The 25,907-nt window shown below is 39.0% G+C and overlaps 1 protein-coding gene across 4 annotated transcripts in view, besides 1 other annotated feature; it reads left to right on the forward strand.

Annotated features, from left to right (window-relative positions):
- The window catches only part of BMPER (BMP binding endothelial regulator), a 251,513-nt gene that overhangs the window by 106,733 nt on the left and 118,873 nt on the right, over nt 1-25,907 (forward strand). The gene's annotated exons all lie outside the window — the stretch shown is intronic.
- Nucleotides 22,752-23,951: an enhancer, noted in NCBI's record as "MED14-independent group 3 enhancer chr7:34074011-34075210 (GRCh37/hg19 assembly coordinates)". NCBI's record gives its function as "activates an origin of replication core promoter dependent on BRD2, BRD4, P300/CBP and CDK7 cofactors, and independent of MED14, by STARR-seq in HCT116 cells {active_cell/tissue: HCT116}" and the evidence as "EXISTENCE:reporter gene assay evidence [ECO:0000049][PMID:35650434]".

Consider the following 25,907-nt stretch of genomic DNA (forward strand, 5'->3'; position numbering starts at 1 on the left):
ACTGTACCTTGAAATTCTTTTGAATTCTTTTGAATAAGAAGAACAAGCACATTCCAGAAACCTGTACCCATCTTAGAAAAGACCATTACTTTGCTAGGATGTTTACATTGGAGATATGAAAAATGAAAGCCAAATTCAAATTGCAGCCCAGAATTCAGTGCTTGGGGTTTTTAAGCCAGTAATATTTTCCCTGTAAAATCTCCTTGGAAAGGCTTTCAGATTTGAGTCAGCTAGGGTGAACCCATTTTCCGAAATTTTGTTTCTGGAAGCATTTAATTGAAAAGAAAAATCCCAAGAATGCATCCAGAGTTGAATGTCATGCAGCAGTTGGGAAAGCCTCAAAATAGCAACAATGAGAATAAATGAAGCCAAATGAAATCTGCAAATTATTAAGATAAAATTGGTAAGGGGCATAGAAACTTAATAAGAAGGAAATAAGAGAAATCAGTTTTCCAATACAAACTCTATACCAAGAGATTGTACAAAGGAGAATAGGGAACAAGAAACTTCTGTAAGCTAAAAAGATAGCAGAGGCTAAAAGTTCACAGAGACTAGATGACTCTCATTTCAGTTTGATTTCCTATGAGGGATTTCATGTTTAAAAATCTCATTTAAATTGTAGTCTTCAATGCAACCTCTTACAACTTCTCACAAAAATAATCCCCCCAAACATCAAAGGATATACTCTCAAGAGTTCTGAAAACTGGGATAGGTAGAAACCAAATGTTGGTATCCAGAAGGAATTGGCATTAATCATAGGGCAAATAGGTCTTAGTTAAGGAAACTGACTCACTTTTCAGTTTATCACATATTTAATTTTCCTTTATTTAAGCTGTCTGCCAAAAAAGAGCAGAAGATATTTAGTAATTCCTGTTCCTTTTCCTATTACCTGACACACACATACACACAGAAAACCAGACACAATTTTTTTCTATACCCCTTCTTAGAGTGCAGTTGGGTGAGATGGAGAGGTATACACCATCTCAAAACCTGGGAAAAATAAAACCAAAGAAAATATCAATAATACTAATAGAAGAATTAAACCAGCATCAACCTATACCAACAAACTACTCATTTAATAATGACACCAAATCAAATGATTGAGGAAATATGAACAACAAGCTTAGAAAAGACTCATGAAGGAAAATCAAATATATCAATTATAACCATAAATCTAATTGGGTTAAATAATTAAACAGTTGTCTTCAAAGACAATCTCAAATGGAATCAATGTGAAAACTCTAACCATCTGTTGTTTCTATGCGATATTAAAAAATATAAAAACTTACTAGCTCACATGTTTTTGAAAGGGCAGCATCTTTTGTGCCATTGTTTTGGCTGTCAGACTTCTGGAATCCCCAGATGTTTCAGCCCAGAAACCCTGGCTCAACAACAGGCAGACATTGCTGAAAAGACCCAAAGATCTAAAACTTGCACGCAGAACATTGTGCTCAATCCCTTCTGGGCTCCAGCAGCCCCAGCTCATCTCTGCTTGATGCTTCTCAGGTGCCATAACTGAATCATGATCATACTCCACTAGCCCTGTTTCTCTAAAGTTCCCTGTCTCAGTCAGTGGCACAACTCTCCATTCTCTTTAAAGCCAGAGGCTTGGGAATTACATTTGGAACCTGATTCTTCTGTCCTGTCCCCCACTCACTGAGTCCTATAGAGTTTGTATCATCAGTATTTCTTGAATCTATGGCTCCTCAACTCTACTACTTCCATCCTAGATCAAGCTTCTATTGTCTCTCAGTTGATCTCCAGCGAAGGCGTCCTAACCAGTCTCCTTCTCTGTACTATAATTTATTTTATCTTTAAAATTTTAATAGTGAGAGCTTTTATTTTGCATTCTTTTTAAAAATAGCTCTCTTGAAATATAATTTACATATCATAAAATTCACTTGTTGTAAGTGTACAATTCCATGATTTTAAAAGTAAATTTAGAGTTGCGAAACCATTACCAAAATCCTACATTCCTTGAGGGTTGATCAGACATAAGTTTGATTTTCTAGGAAGACTCCATCACAGTTGGTCTCATGAGCTTCCATCAGGAGGCACCTAATGCCTGGTTGTACCTATTTTTGTGAGGGTTAAGTTTGATTTGTGGGTTCAGATGTTAGCATGACCCACCCATTTTAAGTTTCTCATCAACCTTCCCCCTATGAGTTATAGCAGCCATCAGTGGTTATTGCCTACAGACAGACTGAAACTGCTATGAACTTTTCTCCTCTTTTTACCCAAAGAGCTTTTAAAAATGAAAATCTAATCATGTCCTTCTTCTGCTTAAAACATGTAAAGTCTTGCCATAGCTCCATCTTCTTTCCCTCACCACTTAATAAATATAGTTTTGTGGGATTCTTTCATTGCCTCTTCTCTGATTACTTTGCCCATCAGGGTAAGGACCCTCTCTGTAATTGCTCATCACTGAAAACCTAACAGTGCTGTGAAATACTAGAGCTCATTTACTACTTGTTGAATAGATGAAATCAGTGGATAAGCAATTAATTAAATGAAAGGATGATCATAGCACCTACAAAAAAGGCACATTGTGGGTTGCTGTTTTCTTCCCTCTTTAATGTGGGGACACATGGGAAAGGCAAGTAGAGGAGATCAACCCAAAAGGAGATGGTTTTGGAAGATTCTGGGTGTTTTTGACAGTGGGTCAGTGAGGTCAGAGATGTGGAGCAGCATAGAGAAGAGACAGCAGAGGAGAAACTTCCTTGAATGCATACTAAGGCATTAATACTAGAGCAAAGAGAGGAGAGATATCCTTCAAACAAGATGTCTGTGCCCTGTGAATGCATGCGAGGCCACCCTGTGTCCCATTTCAATGGCCTTGAAGGCATCATTGTGATGTGATAGATTCCAGCCTATCAAAGCAGCCCATTCATCCCTGTAGGTCTGTTGAGTCTTCTGGCCTTACTGTACGATACTGTGCCTGGCCAGGACCGTGGAGTGTGGAATTTCCTCCCCATCTGGGGAGATTCAGGCCCTGAAAACATCTATAGTATAAGAGTTCTTGTTTGGGCAACTTAAGATTTTATAGGAAATTGGGGAATTGAGGTTGTAAGTAAACCTTGGAAAGCCTTCATAAATATTTTTATATGTTCACTAAATAAAATAGTGAAGTCAGCACAATAGAGAGAATATCTGTATATTTACACACCTTTCATTAGGAAGAATAGGCATCAAATGATCCATTTTCTTTTATCACTAATTTTAACTTACTGGCATATTTTTAGTGTTTCCCTCGTTTTAAAAGGATGCTTACAAACTTGTTTTGTTTTCTTACCTGTAATATGCACACTCAGTAGGGTTTCTGCCCTCTGTGATGTCCCTTCTTCTAGGGGGGAGGCTGAATATTGAATACTCTTGTGATTTCATAATAAAGAGTCTCTCATTTCATGCTTCTTATGTCATGACTGGATGTATTCTGAAGATTCATCTAAATGTGGATTGAAATTCTTCTAGATAAAAGAACAAATATACCAAAGTAAAGGTGAGTCGACTGTTACACAGAAGTTAAGAAAACTGGATTCTGAAGCCACACTACCTGGGTTTGAATTCAAATTCCATCCCTCTTTTCCTGTGTGACCTTGGACAAGTTACTTAACTGCCCTGTGCTTTTGCTTCCTCATCTGTAAAATAGAACAATAATAATAATACTTCACAGTGTTGAGTGAAGATCAGATGATTTGTTAAAAGCTCTTAGAAGAGTAACCTAATACGAAGTAAAATGTATAAAAGTGAAAACTGTTAAGATTGATGTTATCAATGAAGTAAATCTATGCCTGTGAGAATTCCACCTATTGGAATTTGAGGTTAGGGAGGGATGATTACTGTTCCTAATAGCTGGCATATACACATGGACACAAGCAACCCCACGGTTGCTGCCTGTGACAGAGCTTCCAACTTTCTATTGGTGAGATGAAAAGAGCAGAAAGCAACAAAGCTTGGTCAGTTGTAAAAGGGAAAATGCACATTCCCTATGCAGTTGAGCACATGAAAAACTTGATCTGTCAGAGAAATATCAGTTTTTCTTCATTGTCTGCTAATTCTGTCCAGAAAGGACATCTGTTGATGGAGCCCTCAAAACTGGAACAATGTTATGGGACTGAATAATGTGGCGTATTTCCTGAATCTAGAGCTCCTGGACCTTGTTCTGAGCAATGTGGCTCACGCTGAGAGATCTGAGCGTGTGCCTCCACCTCAGCCACAATGCTCCTGAAAAATAACATATGTTTTAGGAGCCTGTAGAGTAGCATTTTTGGAATCGTGACTTTGGTGCTTCATTCAAATAGGACATTGGAAAGCTAGTACAAAAGACAGATGGAGAAAGAGAGAGAGAGGAAGAGAGAGAGTGAGAGAGAGAGAGAGAGAGACTGAGAGAGAGAGAGAAGCACTGTCAGGTTTTAAGGCTTTTACAGAAAACTCCATCAGGACCACAGTCTATCCCCAATCCTATGTATTGTGCTGATGAAAACTTTTGGGTGGCATTTATCATTTATCCCACGTATATTTTATCCTCTCTCCAGGAAAATAATGCGATGTTTGCCAATTACCTTACTGAAATAAAGAGACAGCACAGCTGCACAGCTCAAAGATCCTTTGATCCGTAGTAACTAACTATATGAAACAGTCTTGAGAGAGTTTGGGGCTGTGATTGGTTCTTGAATAATTCTTGCAAGTGCCCATAATCCCTTTACTTTCTTTCCCAAATGTTCAAATCTACCTGTGTAATGCAAGGCCTGAAAACTTTCTAAAGCAAATGGTTGAACTCAGTAGTCTGAAATTTCCAAAATTCACCTTTCCCTTCTCTTTTAAAATTAGGATAGTACTGATCCTTGGCCTGTCTCTGGCACTTTTTCAACTCTTTATGATTTCTCAGATTCTTGACTGCATTTTAAGATCACACCTGCAACTTCTTTTTGTTCCTGGGGTGGAATTACTGAGTTTGAACCAATACTTGAATTTATTTTAAGTGATTGGATTGTCTTTTCATCACCTCACCTGTATTGGATGTTAAGTTGTTCATAATATATCAACCACTGTGGTTCCTAATTTTACAGTTTTATTTGAGTAACGCCCTCATAGAAAACACTTCAGTTTGTTTTGTAACTGCCCTGACAAACCCATTTTTCCAACAGAAAAAACCTTTTTTTTGTGGGGGTGGAAGCAATGGGACCATTTATTGTTTAATACACATTTATTGTAAACTTTGAATTTTCAGGTAAAATGTTGGTGTTAGTCAATGTTGTTGTTGTTTTATTAGAAGGAACACAAATCAACTTAGTTTTAAATCAGAAATCAACTTGATATTGAACCCAGAAGGAATTTGGGGGACATTACTGAGTTTGGGTGAAGCATGGCCTCTTTAGAAACTGGAACCAGGAATTGGAAAATTGTCAGCATTTTCCTGGAAGGCCAGTCACTCCAGATGGCTTTTTTGTTGACTATGCTGGTTCTGTAGAGTGAGTTAGGTAGTGGTCTCTGACGAAGACTGATCATCTGAACTTGAGGAGAGTCTGGTTCGGTAGGTGTGTGGTGGCTTTCAGAATCCAGAAGTTTTAAAGTGCTGCCTTGTCATGCTAATGATGAGTGTATTGGTCTGTTATGAATCACGATGCTAATAAAGACACACCCGAGACTGGGTAATTTATAAAGGAAAGAGGTTTAATTGACTCGCGGTTCCTCATGGCTGCGGGGACCTCACAATCATGGTGGAAGGTGAATGGAGGACTCACATCTTAAATGGTGGCAGGCAAAAGAGAGCTTGTGTGGGGAGCTCCCATTTATAAAACCATCAGATCTCATAAGCCTTATTCACTATCATGAGAACAGCATGGAAACGACCCACCCTCATGATTCAATTACCTACCACTGGGTCCCTCCTGTGGCATGTGGGAATTATGGGAGCTACAGTTCAAGATGAGATTTGGATGGGGACACAACAAAACCATATCAATGAGCCATGTTTGAGAGCCATTGAATTAAACAGTTATTCTCAAACTTTAATCCCCTGAGTGCTTTTTAACACACACATTACTGAGCCTTCACCCTGAGTCTCTGTTCAGTAGTTCTAGGGCAGGGTGTAAGAATCTACACTTCAAGGAGTTCCCAAGTAATGCTGAGGCTGCTGGTCCATGCTTTAGGAATCACTTATCTAAAGGGAGAGCCAGCTGTTGATTGGTATAGAAGCCTGAGTGTGTTACTTATTGTTTTCTAAATTTTAACCTTACCACCACCTGTGTTACTCTCTTCTTGGGAGATCCCAGGCTCCTCTGTGTGGTGCCTCCACCAAAAATACTTAAACTTGTCCAAAAAAAAAAAAAAAACAAAACCCGTAGTTGAGTTTTATGAATAAGTATTGGGCAAGGGTGCATTACTTCAATGTGGCCTAAAAATCCACTACTTATCCTGTCAGTGCTGCCATCCAAAACCAATGTCTGTGAGCTGAGCTGCATTGATTGAGTTTGAAGTCGTCAGCCACCATATCCAGTTTTTACCCTTCAACTTCACTTGCTAGAAGAAAATAGAGGACATAATGGTTTGAAGGCTCTAATTATGGGCTGTGGAAAAGTAGGTGACTTCAGAGAGGAGATCTGGGAACATAAGGAAACATTTTCTCTCTTAGCAACCACATGGAAACCTGCTTCCTCTGTCCCTCTTCACTCCAACTGCCCTAAAGTATAAAGAGAAGTTGCCCCTTTAGCACATATTGAGAAGCTTTATATGGTTCTAGTCTTTCAAAGTAAAAATAGGCAAGCAGATATCTAGCACTGAAGGTGGACTTAGTTTTATAAGCTTCAGATCCTCATTTAGAAAAGCTGTGCATGAATCTTATCGTCACCTTCAAAAGGGCCTGGCAAAATTCTGCATGCCTCGCAAAAGTTGAGAGATGAAACTGGACACCAAGACGAGTCGGCTGTGTCCCATTTTTCATTTCCAATCTGAAATGTGGCTTGCACTTGGTGAATGCTTCGAGTTTCTGATCCTTTTGACATAGGTCTGCCTTGGCTTTTCTGCCTTGACTTTATCACGAATAATTCCTGAGATGCTTCATGCTGGAGAGGAACCATGTTACAGTGGAATTTTGCCTTGGAAGTTGTCTCACTTTTCCCATATAAATCTGGAAGATGAAAGACAAATTTCCAGGAGATAAAATCACAAAACAAAATGGAAAAAAAGAAAAAATAAAAGAAAAAAAGTGTGGTTTATGTCGCATGTTTCTTGCCTCACCTTGGAATTGAAATGGGCTGCTTGCCTTGATTCAGAGTGGGATTTGCTGCAGCTGTGCAGCAAGAAATACCCCAGTACCTGATATCCTTGTAAAATCTTCTTCAGTGCTTGAGATGGGAAAAGGCAACTGCAAGTTTCCAAAGGACTGATGAGCAGTAACCCCACAGATGGATGACTTGCTTGACAACTTATTTAATTACTCCCTGGAAGATGATGATCTTTGGGGAATGAGCATCTTGCTTTGGAGATCGAATTGCCTGCAGGATCGCATCACTGTGTCTAAAATATAGCTTTGGAGAAACTGAAAGAGAACATTCCTTTCTTCCTTCAGCTTCCAAACAGTTTGCATACAGTGGAGGCTTAGGTTCTAATTCTTTAATAAATCACACCATACAGACAGCTACGATTCAGAGGAAACTGTACATGTTAGCAGGCTAGGAGCCATTCTCTCGTCAGAGGGCCAAGATCAAGGGCTTCACTACCCAAGACTGACTCTCGTCTCAGCACCTCCAACTCAGATTTTACTTCTGGGAATCAAGACACATTAGAAATATTTTTTCCCTCCTCTGATCCGCATCATTTATACGCCCAACCTCAATACAGTCCTTGGAGAATGAGCTCATGCAGCCTTCATGGCAAGCTGCCTGATGTTGCTGAGTTTGGTCTCCTCCTTGAAGTGATGATGTCACAGGTACAAAAGCATCTCTCTCATATCTGATGGAGTTTAGGCAGCAAGGACCATTCAGCTGTTTACTTATTCATTTTGCAAATACATGTGGACCTCTACTGTGGGGCACATCTTGAGTCATCTGCTGGAGTACCATTGTGGATGGGACAGACGTGGCTCCGGCTTCACCGAGCTGTAGTGAAGAATGAAAGTCAACACACTAGCAATTACAGAGTAGCATATAAAGGACTGTAAAGAGGTGTGAAGTACTTCAGAAGCTCTACAGAGTAATTGGTGCTCCAGAGGCCAGGAGAATGTGTCACCCACACTTCACAGGAGGGGATCTGGCTATAGTTGGGGATGGAGGAAGCTGTTCTGTAAGGTTTTTTTAGAAGGTTTTTTTTTTTTTTTTTTCCCCAGGCTGAAATCTGGAAAATGTCAGAGGAATGTGGATACACCAGAGGAAAGAAGGATTTGAAAGGGAAGTGAGGGAACAGCATGTACAAAGGCTCAGGGCCCAGAGGAAAGATGAAATGTCCTAGAAAGTGATTTAGAATGAATAGAGTGAACAGTGAAAGCAAGAGTTTGGGAAAGAAGGCAGAAGATCTCCTTACTGACTTATTTTGTCCTGAGGGCAGACAGGAGCCACTGAAAGATTTAATCCATGAAAAAAATCTGATCAGACTTCCCTGCAGTATAAACCGTGGATATGGAAGTAAAGTAATGGCAAATGTGTTCAGTGTTTCCTGCCTACTGGAAATCTGGTATAGAAATAAGTTGGCAGTTAGCTTTAAGGGATGGGGGCACAGTCTTATCTGGAGTTACAGATTTGGGAGATCTTCAACCTGTTTCACATCCAAGGGTGTAGATGACAATCACCTTTGAAAGTATGTGCAGATCAGAAATGATTAAATTCTAGTGGTAAGAATTCCATGGGATGCTTGCTGAAATGAAGGTTCCTGAGCCCCACTCCAGAGATTTTGATCCTGAAGTTCTGGGTACATCATGGGAATCTGCATTTTATCCAAATTCCCCATGTGCTTCTAATGTACATGGTTTGTGGATCAGATTTGGAGAAAATAAAACATAGGAGTAAAAGGCGAAGTAGTCCTGGGAGATAATTTGAAGAGCAGGATGACTGGACTGAATTATCCAGGATTGTTTCCTTAGGGAAGTGTCTGCTGAGTCCCAGCAGACAAGAGCACCAGTTAGTAGTGGACAAAATAAGGATAGGGAAAGCAATTATCAGCCTGCTTTGCAGGCAGCATGGGGTCTTTCAATGAGATTTAACAGGATGAATTTCTTAACACACACACACACACACACACACACACACACGCACGCACACACACATATGCATATGTTATAGGGTGTGTGTGTATAAAGAGAGAGGCTTAAAATAAATAAAAGGTTAGTTTAAGTGGCCTTCTCCATTCCAGTTTGTTAACTGCTTTATAAATACTCACAACTGATGTAGGAGGAGATGCTTCGCAAACCTTGATGCAAAAGAAAATCACTGCCTTGTAGAAGAAATGGCTTTTTATTTGGGCAAAGTTAATGCAAATACGAGAAGAGCATTTTTTTAAGTTTTGAAACTTTTGGAAAAATATTTTAGGATGGCTAGTTCTTTAACTGAGTTCTAACCACTGATGTTTGTTATCCCATGAATTCTTTGGCAACACTGAATGATCAATTGTAATGAAAATTTCCTTTATCTAATTGAGACTAATTGTCTTATGCCACTGTTGTAATAACATGGTTTTAAAAAATATTCTAAATATTCCCTCAAAAGATTTTAATCTGACTTACTGAATTCAAATCTAATCAAAATGAGTAATTTTTATGTAGTCATGACCCTAAGAAGAAGTATTTATTGGTCCTATATATGCCAGGGACTGTTTAGGAAGGTTTAAAGCGAGATACTTTGCTTAGTTTTCACAGAAACCTTTGTATTACCACTGTCAGATGAGGCAATTGTACCTATGGTCACACAACAATTAAATGACCCAGCTTGAACTGGAACCAAAGTCTGGCTCCAAAGTAAATTATCAAAGAATTTGTAGGAGAATTGTGACTCATATTCAGTTTCTAATGCTTTACTGAAGGCAACAGATTACCACCTTTTCCCACTGGCTTATATTCATGGGATAGAAACATAAAGGATATCTAGCAGGTATCTTCTTGATAAACCTCATTCCTGGGGAGATGATTATCCTAAGAAAATACCAAGTTGTCCAAGCTCTACTCATCACTTCATACTTGGTGCCTCCATCCATCCCTCCATCCATTGAATATTTATTGAGTGCAACATGATGCAAAATCTTGAAATGTAGTGGAAAACAGAGATGAGTCCCTTCTCTCAGGGAACTTATTTTCTTGTGGACTGTACAGACTCCTGCATTGTGATGGCAGTGATGAGGTTCCAGTGACCAACAAGTAGTATAAGAATTTGTGGTGAAGACCTTTCTCAAAAAATTTAATAATTGTTCTGCTCCATGGAGCTTATCAATCATGGCTTCTGGAGGCATCTTGGCTTAATGAAAGGTGTACCAGTTGGGTAGAAATTCCCACAGCCCTTTCATCACATGATGGGCCTTTTAGGAATTCTTTCCAAACTACAAGGTTCTGGAAGCTGCTTTAATTTGGAAAATATTAGACTTGAAACTAAAACGATTCCCACTTAGTAAGATTTACTATCTTAGCCTCATTTTGCTGGTGATGCTCTGCAGGGGGCTTCTTCTAGGGATCATTTCCCATGTTTTGCCTTCCCTCGTCCTGTGCCAGCTTTGGGGGAATTCCCAGTGAGGAGTGCTGCTCAGGCAACCTCTTTCCGCATTTCTACAGCCTCTTAGGGCAGAAAAACTCTTGAATCCACGTGGAAATGGAGACTTTAAAATATTCGAGACTGCAAAACATTCAAGGAAGAATCTGAACTTGTTCATAAAAGTTTTCTCTATCAGGAAACTTCAACTCAGTATTTAATTCAAGTCTTTTTTTGAGGCCCTACAGGACACATAATGAACCCCTGTTACAGGCAACTTTCTGAGCTCTACTGCTCAGCCTGGAATAAGAAAGGGCCTGCGAGGTTAATTTAGATTTGGCTTCACTTAACAAGATTATGACTTGTTGAACCAATCCCTTTAAGGTTTGCCAAAAAAAAAAAAAAAAAAAGGAAGAGGAGAAGAGGCAGAAAAGTATTTATCATATTGGCAATATGCTCAAGCAACGCCTTCCTTTTCCCTGCAGTGACCCGGAGTTTGTCTCAGATACAGTAGTTGCCTCATGCTCTCCAGGGTGATGCTATGACGGATCATCCTTCTGGGCTTCCTGTTGGAAGTAAAAAGTGGACAGTAACATATCTCCTGTCATGGAGGTTGACACGTGATCTGAGGGGGTTTAAGCCAATTGGGAATGCTCTTTGAAATGAGCAGTAAAATTAATGAAGACTATTTGAGAAGGCTACAGGGAAGGGTAGAACCTGAAGAATCTTGGGCTCCATTGTACTCGAGAAACATCTTCTCATGAAAGTGGCATCGTTTTGCACATAGCCAAGTTAATCTCCTTCATGTTGTAGGCCTTCAAATTTTCCCAAGTCACACAGAAGAAACAATGGCTTAGTGATAGATAACTTGTTGACCCTGCTCATAGCAGGATCCACTGCTGTCACAGTGTGTCCTCTAAGGCTAGTCGTCATACATCTTGGGGAACCCAGACTCTTCAGGTAAGAAATGTTCTTATTGTAACCCTGGACTGTGAAAGAAAGAGGTCTGATGGCACTAGGGTGACAAAGATTTAGCTTACTCAGTGTGGGAAATAAATCTAGTCTCATAAGGTTGTGTGCCTTTGTGTGTTTTCTTGCTGAAAGAGGAGAACCACTGCCACCGTGGCTGAGGGATGTTAGTCATAGAATCAGCTCCTCTGAGCTATCTGTCCTTCCCCCATGCTTGTCCTGTTCTCTGTCTCTCTCCATGTTTCTGTCTTTGCTGTCCTGAGTACATTCCTCCCAACTTCCAATATCCTTTGCCAAATGTTTAAATCATCTTCAAATCTTCTGAGGAGGGCCTAAATGTATGAACTCCAACTCCTATTATAGAAATTTGACATAGAGATTGGATAAAGAGAAAGTACAGGAGTTTCCAGAGAATACTGGACTATGCCTCCTCCTGTAACACTTTCATAGGAATTGTGTGGCTATCATACAAAACATTTGAAGTGTTCCAAGTTGTGTTTAGAATCCATTTGTGATCACTTGGGTTTAGTTAGTGTTTTGGCCCATTTTATTAAGAGGGAAGTTTCTTTTATATGTCTTTATTCACTTAATGAAGCAGACCACTGAGAATTTAAGATGTAAAAGAATATGTTGGTAGACTTTGTCTTCTGTTAAAGTATGCCAAAGTTGAAAAAAAACAGCCTCCCTTGATTCCAATGGTTATTTTTCAAGAAGAACCATCTTACTACCATAGCTTAATGGAAATTGGATGGAAATCCTAGTCTGAATAAGTTAAAAATCTGATGAGTATTTTACTTTCTTTATTTTTAATGGGTTTTTATTTTTTCAGTTAAATTAATATGTGTGGGTGGATCAGTTGAGGTCAGGAGTTCAATACCAGTCTGATCAACATGGTGAAACCCTGCATCTACTAAAAATACAAAAATTAGCTGGGCATGGTGGCACGTGCCTGTAATCCCAGCTACTGGGGAGGCTGAGGAAGGAGAACTGCTTGAAGCCAGGAGGCAGAGGTTGTAGTGAGCTGAGATTGCACCACTGCATTTCAGCCTGGGTGACAGAGCGAAACTCTGTCTCAAAAAAAAAAAAAAAAAAAAAAAAACAATATATATATATATATATATATATATATATATATATATATATATATATATGTTGGGGAGGGGTATGGTAAAAAAAAAAATCAAATAGTGCTAAAAGTTCATGATGAAACCAGTAATGTCCCATTCCTCTAATCTTTGTTTCTCATAGGTATCCTGTTCCTCATAGGTGACCAATTCCAATGCTTTTAGCTGTTTCTTCTGATGTCTTTCTCCATATCACTCAATTCTATGCATGTACTGCTCTTTCTTGATGTATCAGTTTAGATATGATCTATAGACTTCCTATAGTGGTAGAGATGGATTATTTTAGCTCTTTTGCATTTTATTCTCCTGACTAACCTCATTATCTTGCTATGTCACATTCTGATACTAATGCTAATAATAATACAAATCCTGAATATGCAAATATGTATCAAAATCCCAGGCTCTGCCCTCAGATTCTGATACAGTAAGTACAAGGTGAATTCATTTTATGCAATGAACTTGTTTTTAGGGAGTGACTTGGATAATTCTGATGCAGGTGCCCAAAGAAAGAAAGTTTCTCAAATAGGAGAAACTTGGGCTTAGAGTTTTGCTCTTGATTCTTTGCTAGGTGTCAGGTAATACAGTTTTCAGAATTGTCAAGGATATAAAGCTGTAGTAACTTGTAAGCAATGATTCAGGTGTTCTATTTTAATGAATAAATAAAAGGAATCTGTAGACTTCACGCAAATTGTTTGTATGTAGTCATGTAATTGCTGTTTATAAACAAGCTTGAAAGTGGTTTGTTCTTCCTTAAAGACAGCAAACATGGTCCTTCCAAGACAGTTTGCCATAAACTTTAACTTGACCTTTTAATCAAATGACTTATAATATTTTAAATGATATCTGAATTGCTTCCTTTGATTTTTAAATATACATTTTCATTTGCCTGAGAGGCTGTGGGGAAGGAAGTAGAGGGTAGGTTCTGCAAGTTGAAGTTCAATCAAGCACAGGGTCAGGCACATAGGAGAAAGACCTCCACAGCCCAGCTTCAGGCGAATGGTGGGTGTCTGGGGCCTGAGATGATATAGGGGATCCCAGGAGGGCTGAGCCTTCTTTTAGGAGCCGAGAGTGCATGGTATTCACACATCCAGCAAGGCAAGTGTCAGATCCTCTTTAGGAAGTTCTAGCTGCAAGAAGGAGGATCTACCCTTTAGTCTGTGATTTAGGGGCAAAGAGAGCAGTGGTTGTAGGTCTCGGATGCTAGGCAATTAAGTATTCAATGACTAAAGGAGTGACTGAGGCAGAAATCCAGCCTGAAAGCATGAGCCAGTGTGGGTGAGAAGAGATCGGGAGACTCAATTAGCACTTAGTACTCATTGCAGGTCTCAGGCATGTTTGCTTATGAACCAGATTTGTGGAATAGCAGGGGAGCCTGGAGTGTGTTCTTGTGCTGCATTCCTAAAAGGACAAGCGCTGGATATAGAGCCCCAGGATATTTTTAAACTGCCTGTTCGTTTTTTGCATTTATTCAGAAGCTGGAACAGGTCTATCAGTTGACTTGTCCAGCTTCAGCTCCAGGGAGTGTGTGAGGGCAGGGTCAGGGTAATGAGTTGGTCTGGAAGCCGATACCTGTGGTCAGGAGCTGTCAGGATGAAGGCTGAAGAACTCTTTTGGAGTTTCAGGCACAATTCTGGACTCCCTACTTTGGGTTCAACGTTAGAATAGTCCTTTGTGGCCTGGCATGGTAAAAAGGATAATTCGGGATCCAGTCCCTCTGGTGAGCTGGGATGATGGTAATGGGGTTGAGACTGGGTGATCCTCTTTCTTTAGCCCTGATTAGTCTGGAAGCTAGGTTTAGGTTGTGGCTCTGGGGATCTGGATTTGGATCAGTGGTGGGGAACAGGATTAGGGACAGTCAGGGGGATGAGGCAAAAGGATGATTTTATTGGACAGCAGAGACATTCAACTATCATCATTGTCATGCATCACAGGTTTTCCATTGGATTATTTCCTCTTCGTGGATCAACTTAATGCAAAGATTAAATAGGTTTTGCAATGAGGGGAATATTTAAACTTCTCATGCAGTTTTCTTCAGATCAGACCTCTAAGCAAGCAGCTGAAAAGCCATGTTGTTGACTTCAGCACACCAGGTCTGATTCTTTTAGTTCCTGGGTTACTTAAAACAATGACCATCTTCTGAGGATGCTCTGCTTAAAGCATACTGGGGAAGGAATAGCGGGCTTCTCAGGGCCATCAGATTGATTACAAGAATTCAGAGTTACTAAAATGAAAATGGCCACTGTGTTTATTTATACAAGTGCTTTGTTGGTCTTCTAAGTTGAAGTTGATGACAGATGTGTTTTTAGAGAAAAAGTGCAAACTCCAGAGACATAAGCATCTGTTCTTTCTCAGCCTTGCCTCTTAGGCTCATACTTCATTTTTTACCCACACAACAGGCTTTATTTCTATCTACTGAATACCTGAAAATATGGGTGTAAATGACTATTATGGATTCTTGACAGTTTTACTGGAACAAAACTCATGTTTTCTGGCTTTGATGGCCCATATTTGGCTGGCTCCGTGGGTGGCTATTGACTTCCTCTTCCTTGCTTTGTAGCCTATATGGCATCGCAGTCTGCAAAGTGAGCTTGCTGATGTAAGTGGTGATGTATGGTGTTTCCCTGGGACCGTAGAGTTCATTTGCATGACCCAAATGTGCTGCTAAACTTTGGTCTGCTTATCATGGTTATGAGAATTACTGCATGAGGTAGATTTCAAGAATGTAAAAGTCAAAGCATTTATATAAGTCAGCAGTTCTCAAAGTGTGGTCAGTGGACCCTTGGGAGTCCCCAAGACAGTTCCAGGGGGTTCACAAGGTAAAAACTATTTTTATTATAACACAAAGACACTATTTGCCTTTTTGACTATGTTCACATTTGCTCCGATGGTGAGTAAAAGTGCTGGAGTCAGCACAGAGCAAGACAATGACATGAGGTGTACTAGTTGTCATTTGTTATTCACCACTGTGTACTTTCAGTAGCAAAGAGAAAGAAAAATGCCATTTTTCACTTAAAAATCTCCTAGATGAAACTAAAAATTATTAGTGTTTATTAAATGTTACTCTTGAATATACCCCATTTAAACATGAGAAGTATGCAAAAAAAATTGATTGCATATTGAAATTCAGTGAATATCTAGAGGAAAAACACTTATGTGTTTATTTGAGTTGTGAACTGACCCAACCGCTATTTTCATGGAATTCCATTTTTACTTGAAAGCATGATTTGACAGACAAATTATGGTTATTAAGAATTGAGTACTTGGCAGACATTTTCTCAAAAATTTTTTAAAAAATGAGCATGTCATTTCAAGGAAAACAAGTGGCAGTATTTGTTGCCAGTGATAACATTTGAGCTTTCAAGTGAAAATTCAAATTTTGAAAAATTTTTATCTCTCTTTGTGAGCTTGACAGCTCTGTAATACTCATATAATTATCTGAAGAGATGCTATTAAAAATGATTTATTTTTGATATTTTATAATGAAGTATACCAATATTTGGAAGATCTGCCCAAATCAATATATTCCACATGACTGATGCATGCTGTTACAAAAAATAATGCATGGGTAGAATATCCACTCAAAGTACAAGATAGAGCAATACATTTTAATATAGCAGAGAATGGTTCATTGATATGGTTTTATATTGGTATAATATCAAAGAAGAGTACCCACAATTATACAAAATTGCTATTAAAACCCTCCTCTATTTTAAAACTACATTTCTGTGTTTAGGTTGGGTTTTCTTTTGATGCCACACCCAAAACAACATATTGCAATAAACTGAATGAAACAAATAGGAAAATCCAATGTCTTTTATTAAGTGAGACATTAAAGAAATTTGCAAAAATTTAAAACCATTCCATACTTCTCACTAATTTTTTTTGTTTTGGAAAATACAGTTATTTTTCATTAAATTGGTTATTTATGTTAGCATGAAATGGGTTTTTGTTATTTAAAAGGAACACTTAAAAATTTCTCAGTTTTATTTCTAATGTAGTAAACATCAATCTGTAGATAAGATATAACTCAAGTCAACCAAAACTCTTTGGTAGGTTCAATAATTTTTAAGAGAGTAAAGGGATCCTGAGATTAGAAAGTTTGAAAACCACTAGTCTAAGCTATACTTTTCATATGTGATGGCATCAACTAAGAATTCATATCTAGTTTACATACAGTCCAAATCATTTTTTCTGTTTTTTTTTTTTTTTTTTTTTTTTTTTTTTTTGTAGCATTACCATTGTCCTTTGGTTTCTTCGTATTTGTCCAGAAATGTCCGTAAGATGTCTTTGCTGGTCCTCAATCTTGATGCTTCCAGATATGCACATTGTGTACCTAGGAGGAGGCACTAACCGTGGGTTCTACTCACCTGAAGCAGAATAGAGGAGCCTGTGTAGAGTAAACACAAATTGCCAGTGTCTTTTCTATCTGGCCAACTCCTCCATGTGGAGAGATGGACAGCTAAGCTGAAGACATGGCAATTAGTATATTGCCATGAATGATTTAGGCTGAACGATTCTACATGAAGCCTTTCTTATCTAAAGACAGAATTAGAATTTGGAAAAGTGATTATGAGTTTATGATGAAGAATATTGTCATCATGGAATATTAAATGGACAATAAAATGTTAATTATGAAAAATGAAAAGTACATGCTGAGATTTCAAGTAGGGAAGGTAGAATACTCAATGGTATTGCAGTCTGTCAACAAAAACTTGTGACTGTTTCTTAGAAAGAAACATTGTGCTAGACACTGGGATATGGTGGTGAGCAATTGACACAGTCTTTGACTATAGATATAAAATTGTTTGTGCATGTTGTGCCAAATTTGAAGATCAAAAGTGAGAATGAAAATAGATGATTGGGAAAGCTGGTTCAAACCTCTCATATTTTTTCAAATTAATGTGTTTTGTTGATATTATTTTAATTTCAGCGTTGGGGGACCAGGCTAGAGATGGGAGTGAAATTCATGCAATTCAGCAATCTCCACCCCTGCCTCATCAGAAGAGCATGGCCCACATGGAGGAGAGGCAAAAGGAAGGGAGCTAGCTCTTGCTGCTCCCAGCTTGTTGTCCTTGTCTAATCCCAAAGCTCCTGCTTTACTGTTTTCCTTGTTTACTCAGCTCCTTGACCCAAACCAACCCAGTCTCAGCCTCACTTGTGGCCCTATGAGGTCCCTGCTAAAGAGACCTACATGGGGTAAACAAGCTTTTTCTTTGGATCTTTATTTCTGCCATTGCCACCTACTGAGGATTCTATAAGGGATCTATTTGTTTCAAATGTATCACTTTTTTAAGGCCTCCCAGAGCAGGACTAAGGGGCAAAGTTTGCTAGGCTGAAAAAGACAGGAGAAAGACCTGGCTGAAATATTCCTCAGGATAGCCTACAAATACCCCTTTTAAAGGCATGGAAACCACATGTCCCACATAATATTCCTGGGGAATTTGTAGCCAGCTATGTTTTCAGAGGATGTGGGAGGTAGAGTTTTTATACTATGGTTATTTATAAATATTCCAGAAATGCCAGACATTGGTAGGGTGACCTGGTTTATAGAATTGGAAAAGGGTCATGTTGAAACCTAGAATTCTTTTCTTTTTTCTATAGTTAAATGAATAAAAGTTCCAAAAATTCAATTCAATTCTGAGCAGGAATCTTGATGTAGCTTGTATTAACAAGAGTGGTTTTTGGAATTCATAAAAATATAATCTTAAATGGAATTTGAAGACCATATTATTTGATATCATATATATATAGGTGGGAAGACAAAGGTTTTGGGGCATACGATCGATTACTCAATATATAGACTTGTTTAACTAATAATTGTCAGCAAGAAATTTGCCTCAAGGAGGAAGAAACATACAGCTATAGAACCTTAGGAAAGACCTATAGTAGTAAAATTGAAGTTGATCAGCATTTTCCAAATTGTGTTTCCCTTTATATCACACCAGAATATGTTCAAGTGCCATGGCAAAAGGGTTCTATGGTCAAATAAGTTTGAGAAACACCATATCCTGTATTTCCCCAATGGAATATCCATATTTGTTAAAAGATTTTAAAAAGCCGTCAATGAAGGAACCTATTTAACTTTGTTTAACCCAACATTACTCATTTCTTTGTAGAAGTCTTGTGTCATGGAACCACCGTTAACATCTTATGAAACAGGGTTCTCTGAAGTACTAGTTTAGAAGATGCTGCAGGAGATTATTGATAGAAATTACATTGATTTTTTTTTTTTCGAGATGGGGTCTTCTCTGTTGCCCCAGCTGGAGTGCAGTGGTGCAATCATAGCTCACTATATAACCTGGACTCCTGAGCTCAAGTGATCCTCCCACCTGAGGCTACAGGCACTGCCACCATGCTTGTCTAATTTTTTATTTGTTGTAGAGACAGGGTCTCGCTATGTTGCCCAGCTGGTATCAAACTCCTGGTCTCAAATGATCCTTCTACCTTGGCCTCCCAAAGTGCTGGGATTACAGGCCTGAGACACTGTGCCTCCCTATACATTGATTTTTTTGATGGAAAGATTTGGCTAATCTGAGCTACTTGTGTCTCTGAGGAAGACTGAGGTGAATGTTGGCAGGTGTCAAGGAATTCTCATTGTCTTTCACGTTAGGTCAAGTCCTTCATGTGGACAAAAGGACAGCCAGGCTGGGAATACGACAATTAGCTGGAAGAATTCTGTGTGCAAAAGTCACAGTTATCTATTTCATCCTTCCTTCTAGACCTCAGATGGATTGTGGTTACTGCATCCATCAGTGCTGTTTTTTTTCTTTCAGAAAAGACATTTTAAAAATGGTAATAGTGGCCTACTATAACTGCGGGGTTGCCTCACACGTTAATAGGGAACACCAATCTGTTTGTGTCATTGGTAAAGGATGTGTGTCAGCATGTGCTGTTTTTCACAGTGAGATGAAATGATTATCCCCCAGCCTCCAAACAAACCCCTCCTTAGGAAAACAAAGACTTGCAAGATTATTTTATAAAATCTGTGTTGAACTTATATAAATATATTGTGACAGCAGCTGTCATACTGCATATATCAAGAAAGTGCTTTGAAACTTTATGCAAATACATGGGTGATGTATACACTACTGTACACCCCAAAGACTACCCATGTGTTCTTGGTGCCAAGGAAAACACAAATGTTCTCCTAACTTTTCAGAGGAAAAGTCACCACAGCTCTGTACCTTTCATAGCCCCGTTCTCTTGGCCAGTGAAATATACTTTGACTGGCTAAACCCAAGGACAGTGAGGTGGGGAAGAGGGTGCCAGAGGTTCATTTTTAATTGATAACACTTATAGAGCAAGCACTGTGCTGGGCACTTTAAGCACATTGTTGCATATAATTTTCACAACAGCTTTGCGAGGAAAATAGCATTGTTTAGAGATAAAATAACCAAGACTCCAATTAAATAAACTCCCCAAGGTAACTCATTTATTATTTTATGGAGCTGCATGGCATTTAAAATTAATTTGACCATATATATATATATATATATATATATATATATATATATATATATACACACACACACACACATATATATACACACACACATATATATAAATATATCTTATATATAAATATATATGTGTGTGTGTGTGTATATATATATATATAAAATAGTTAACATTTATTGAGCATTTACTATGTGCCAGATACTGAATTAAAAGCTTTACCTCAGTTGTTCTGTTCTTTTCATGAACTCTATGAGACTGAATACTATTGTTCTTCCCAATTTACAAATGAAAAAATTGAAGCTTAGGAGAAGTTAATTAACTTTGGTGCAATACAGCAAGGAATAGAACTGGGAATCTGAAGGAGCTCTTAACCCCATGAGTTTGTTCCCTTAACCATATGTACTTCCAGCTTTCCTCCTTGATTTAGAATCTGGAACGATTTCCTGGTTTGTATTGAGTTTAAGCCATAGATCTTCTCGTGTCATCAGGAAGTAGGGTTTCCATAACATTTTAAAGTCATTATTTTTCCTCAAAGTTTTGATTCATCACCCATTATCTGGAGTATGGTATAAGTTCCGCATGCATGGATATTGTTATTTCTACAAATCGAATGATAGAGAAGATTTGGAGTCTTCAAGAGTATTTTGATGCAGACACCTCACATATTAAGTATTGGATGAAAGAAATGTCCTCTTTACACAGATTCGTAGCTTTTTGCTTATACTATTGGGCTACATGGGTAACTGTGTACCCTTTGGAGTTCGGAATGTTTGAGAAGAGAATCCTTTAATATTTTTACCATGAACAATTTTGTTTCAAACACTGCTCCTTTCATTCTCAAGTTTTAAGAATGCTTCTGCTTTTTAAAGTAAAATTCATCAGACCCTCCAAGAAATATTAATGTTGAACACTTTGCTCTAGTGGTTTCCCGTTTCCCTACCATGGCATGTTTTATTAGTGTTGGAGTGAGAACAACCATTTTCCAGCAGGACTGATTCTAGAGAGTGGGCCACTTTTCATTTCACAGTTAGAGGCTGAGAGGATTTGAGAAAGAGGGAACAAGAATTAATCCTCAAGGCTGCAACAGGCCAAACCAGGTCAAAGGCTCAGTAGATCATACTTTTTGTCCTAGACCACTGGAAACACTTTCCTAAAACAAAAACACTAAATGGTCATTGTATATGGAAGTCCACACAATGCATTTTAGGCAAAGTATATAATATAAATGGGAGCTATTTTCTACCTCAAGAATTTTTGGAAGGAGGATGGAGACCTTTTGTCTTAGAGTTTCATTCACAGAGTCCATAAACACTTATCAGGTAGCTACTTATAACAAAAAACATTTAATGTACCATCTAAATATTAAGAGAAATACCTCACTGAAAGGACAATATCTATAATTCACAGACTTGGGAATGTGCAGGACATTCTTCACATCAAAAATATGTTCAGCCACTCGGAGCTAGCAATGTTCTGATCATGAGTTGATTATGCACATTGAGTTATTTGTTTATATCAGTTCTCTGAACTTGGCAACCACATGTAGTACCAATGGATGAGGCTCTTTATAAACAATATAGACCACCTTAAGAAGTGATTTTCTGGATTTCCTGGTTAAAAAAAAAGCTAAGTGTTCAGCCTTCAGTATGTAAGCTTTCACTTAATCTGCCTGTTTTTAAGACACTACCATCAACTTTAAGTTAGGCTGGTAGAATAAAATGATGATCTTTCTGAACTTCTATGTCCCTTAATTCTGGACATTTGCCCCAAGAATATTCCCCTTCAATACTGGTCTTTGAAGAGAGCCCTGGGCATTTTCTGAGGGACTTGCCCTTGGGCATTGACCACAGAAGCCTTGACATCTCTTTTAAGTAGATTGGGCATTCCTGGATTTCTAGTCAAAGGTGGCCCTCCACTTGTCTTCCGTTATCTTCACAGGATTGTCTGTGGTTTTTAGTGCAATATTTAGGGTACTTCTGGTAAGCCCTTAAACTTCTATCCTTCTAGTTATGGTCTTAAAAAGAAAAAGTCCTGAACTGCTGTCGTTTTCTGTATCATTATCTGAAATAAGGTACTAACTAAGAATGTTCAGGTAGAATTTTCTTCTATTTAACTGGTTTAGACTTGTGTTTCTCCATCCTTCTTGAGAAAGACCTTTGGAGTTAAGCATGTTGTCACAGTTACGGAGCTGTGGTCCACTCAGACCTCACCCATGATCATAAGCTTTCCATCCAGCCATGGCCTCACTGAGGTGCTACTCCCTTCTGGCGTCTCAGCATGTTCTGGCCAAGATTACAAGACAATGCTTCTGAACCTGGCCTAATATTATTCCAGGAGAACTTCAATTTAATATAACTTATTGGCCAAACACTTCTTCTTTCTGCTTGGCCAATACATGAATCAATTTGTCAGAGAATATGCCTTGTGGATTTGTGCTATACTGCCAAATGCTGAGCATTGCTGACATAGATCATCTTTCAGTAGGAAGATGGAGAGCCTTCCTAGAAAGTCGGAGTTCATGATAGAGGAAATACCACTTTCCTGAGCCGGAAAAGATTCCCTCTTCTGCCATGTCTGTCTGCTGTTGTGCCCTCTGTTTGATGTTGCCACCATTTTTCCAAGCACTTTGGTTCTCAGCCTGGCACAGCCACTACTTCCACCATCTTTGCACATTTCAGCTAGTGTCCTGGAGGCCTCAGATGACAAAGCAGTATGGAAGTCTCCACTGAAGTGGCAAGGGCCAATATCACTTTCCTTTTTCTGTGTTCTACTCAATTATAGGACACCTAAATCAGTAGGGCCTATACTTGAATCTCACAAAGATTTTAGTTAAACAATTCTTTTGTGCTTTTACTTTCAGTATTCTTTCTCCTCTAGGAGAATACAGGCATCTGTGGTACTGAACTTGGGATGATGTGAGTGACAGATGCCAAGTTATGTTGGTGATAGCATGTTCCTTCTGTCAGGCTCAGTCAGTAGGTGATTCTCTTGTTGTTCATCTCTTCCTCCCTCAGGGTGGATTTTCTCTCAGGAGAAGCCGATGAGTGAACCTCTCCCTTTCACTGGACCTGCCCAGACATGTCAGAACACTAGCTTTGGCTCATGCTGGGACCCCCCACCACAGCTGGTGCCAACAGACTGTACACTTGTTTTTCTTTGATCATATATGGCCTAGATTAGGATAGTCCCAAGAGCTTGCCAAGATTGGGTTGCAGCCTGTCTCAAAACACAAACTTAAAATTGTTTGACAAGACCAATACCCAGGAGCATCATGAGTTTGAATGAATAGTGCCGGAAACCTCTAGTCTCTCTGCGCAGTGTTCCTTGATGGAGGCCACGGAGTGTTTACTATAGAACTTCATGACATTGTACTTACAACATTTTAGATTTTGTTAAAATTTTAGGAAATTGCCACCTGATACAAATTAGAGAACTGCACATAACAATGGATACCAAATAGATATTTTGGATTTATTTCATTTAAAGACCATAGTGTCTGACATACAGAAACTCAAATGTATATTGAAAGGGTGAACAAAAAGGATGCCGTGACTTCAATTGCTATTTAGAAATGAAAATGAAGTTTAAATGTAATCTTATTTTTCCGTAGTGTGCTCAGGCATACTAAGGAAAACCTCAAAGACTTCTAAGTATAATTTTGTCAATACAGTGAGAGAGATTCAGGTATATCTTAATTAAGAGTCATTCATGTCAAGATAACAGATATTTTTTGTACCTCAAGAAACCTCAATGGAGCACAAACATTTTTGAGTTATTTTCAGCTTTAACTGACAACCCAACAAGAAGGTGTTTAACTGAAAACCAAACACTTCTGATGTTACTCTGGCCTCACTGTGTGGCTAGGCACTGTGGAAGACAGAAGAAATATTAATGAATATGGCTTCTGCCCTCTGTGAACCTTCAACCTACTTTGGGACAAACGATAAACCCATATGAAGCATTGTGGGAACAAAATAAAACAATATAAACTATTTTAGGTAGCCAGAACTTAAAGGTCAACAGAAAGTTTTAGGAAAACAGTTCATTGGTGATGTCTTGGGTTTCTGTCTCTGCAGTTCCGTATTTGTAGAAGTCTTGAGCAGTCAAAGGCCTCCGTTCGGCTTTCTTCTTAGTGCCTATCCAATGTTGTTGTGATGTAGATAGCCTGGGGAACATGAAAAAATGCCCTTTCTCCTGCATAATGGTGTTATTTCCTTCCTTTTAGGAATGGCTCATAACTCATAGGAGGTGTGAGTTCTAAATGATTGTTCTTTTCATCTGCCTGGAAGCGGGCCAGGCTGTAGATAAAGCGTTTGATGTGTCAGCAGTAGGCTTGTAACAGCTTTGACTACTTCCGTGATGATGAAAGTTTGAACTTTGATAAAAATGGCAAGAAAAGGAAAAGGGCTCATTTTCTTCCTTTCACTTTTTTTTGTTTGTTTGTTTCTGGGCAGCAGTTGAGAAACATCCTACCAGGGTGGTCTGCAAGGTCTCCAGGAATCTGAAATATTAGGAGGTGTTCTCCTGTGGATTTACTTGTTTATTTATTGATCGTTTCAGAGAGGGAACACCCAGGCTCAGAGGCATGGCAGGAGCTGGCTGTCAGGGCCCTTATCAGCAGGCCCCGCCTCTCCTCCAGTTTCAGCTCAGTTAGCCCTGGAAGGGGAAAGACCTTGCTGGGGGCAGATCACTGAGTCCAGCTATCATTCAGCACCTGCTTCCACACACCACACAATCTAGGGGTGCAAATCTACTCAGACTTCCAGAGCTTTGCCTCTCCTCTCGGTTCCCAGGGCATTTGTTTAGAGATCTCATCTGAGCTTGGGCCTATAGGGTGGGCTTATCTTCCTCATTCTAAAATAGACAAAGAGGAAAGTAAAATAGCTGTGGACACCCAGAACCAGTTGGAATTTGCCTCAAACAATATCGCAGTCTTTCATCAGTGATTTGTGTGTCTGCCTGAGTGGAAAGCCTGAGTTGGTGGAAGGAGAAGAATTTCTTTCTTTTTCAAAGAAAAAACGTAAAAGAAAACAAACACATGAACAAACAAACAAGGAAAACTGCCATTCAGCTAAGTGGCAGGAAGAGCTAAGATCAAGGACTCCAAGGGGAAGATGAGGCCAATTTTACCTTTAAAAATGAGACTTAAGCAAACACAATAACCAAATCCCCTTTTCAAATGGAGTTTAGTGGCTGGGCAGTGGGGCTCACACCTGTAATTGTGCTTTGGGAGGCTGAGGCACGAAGATTGCTTGAGGCTGAGAGTTTGAGGTCACAGTGAACTATTATTGCGCCACTGCACTCTAGCCTGGGTGAGAGAGACAAGTTGTCTCTTAAAAACAAACAAACAAAAAAGGGATTAGTGGAACTATGGTAAAGACATTTCCATCATGTATTTATTTAATAATCTAATATTTGCTTTATGAAATTATGATCTTTGGCTCTGCCGCTGTATGCAGTTGAAGTTTAACACTGTCTCTATAGCCAGGCTGGACCTGCTCACTTGTGCAGCTGTAGAAAGAAGGCATCTAGCTGTGCTATTCACAGGCTGAGGCCTCACAGTGCCTGCTCTGTAACCCCTCCACCGAGACCGGTTGAGGCATTTTTCTGTAAGAATCTTGAAATATAGCAAACATGGTTAAACTCTTTGGGAGTCATCTAGCTGACCATGAGAGGACATTGATGTCCC

Source organism: Homo sapiens, chromosome 7, assembly GCF_000001405.40.
Source record: "Homo sapiens chromosome 7, GRCh38.p14 Primary Assembly".
NCBI classification, from domain to species: Eukaryota; Metazoa; Chordata; class Mammalia; order Primates; family Hominidae; genus Homo; species Homo sapiens.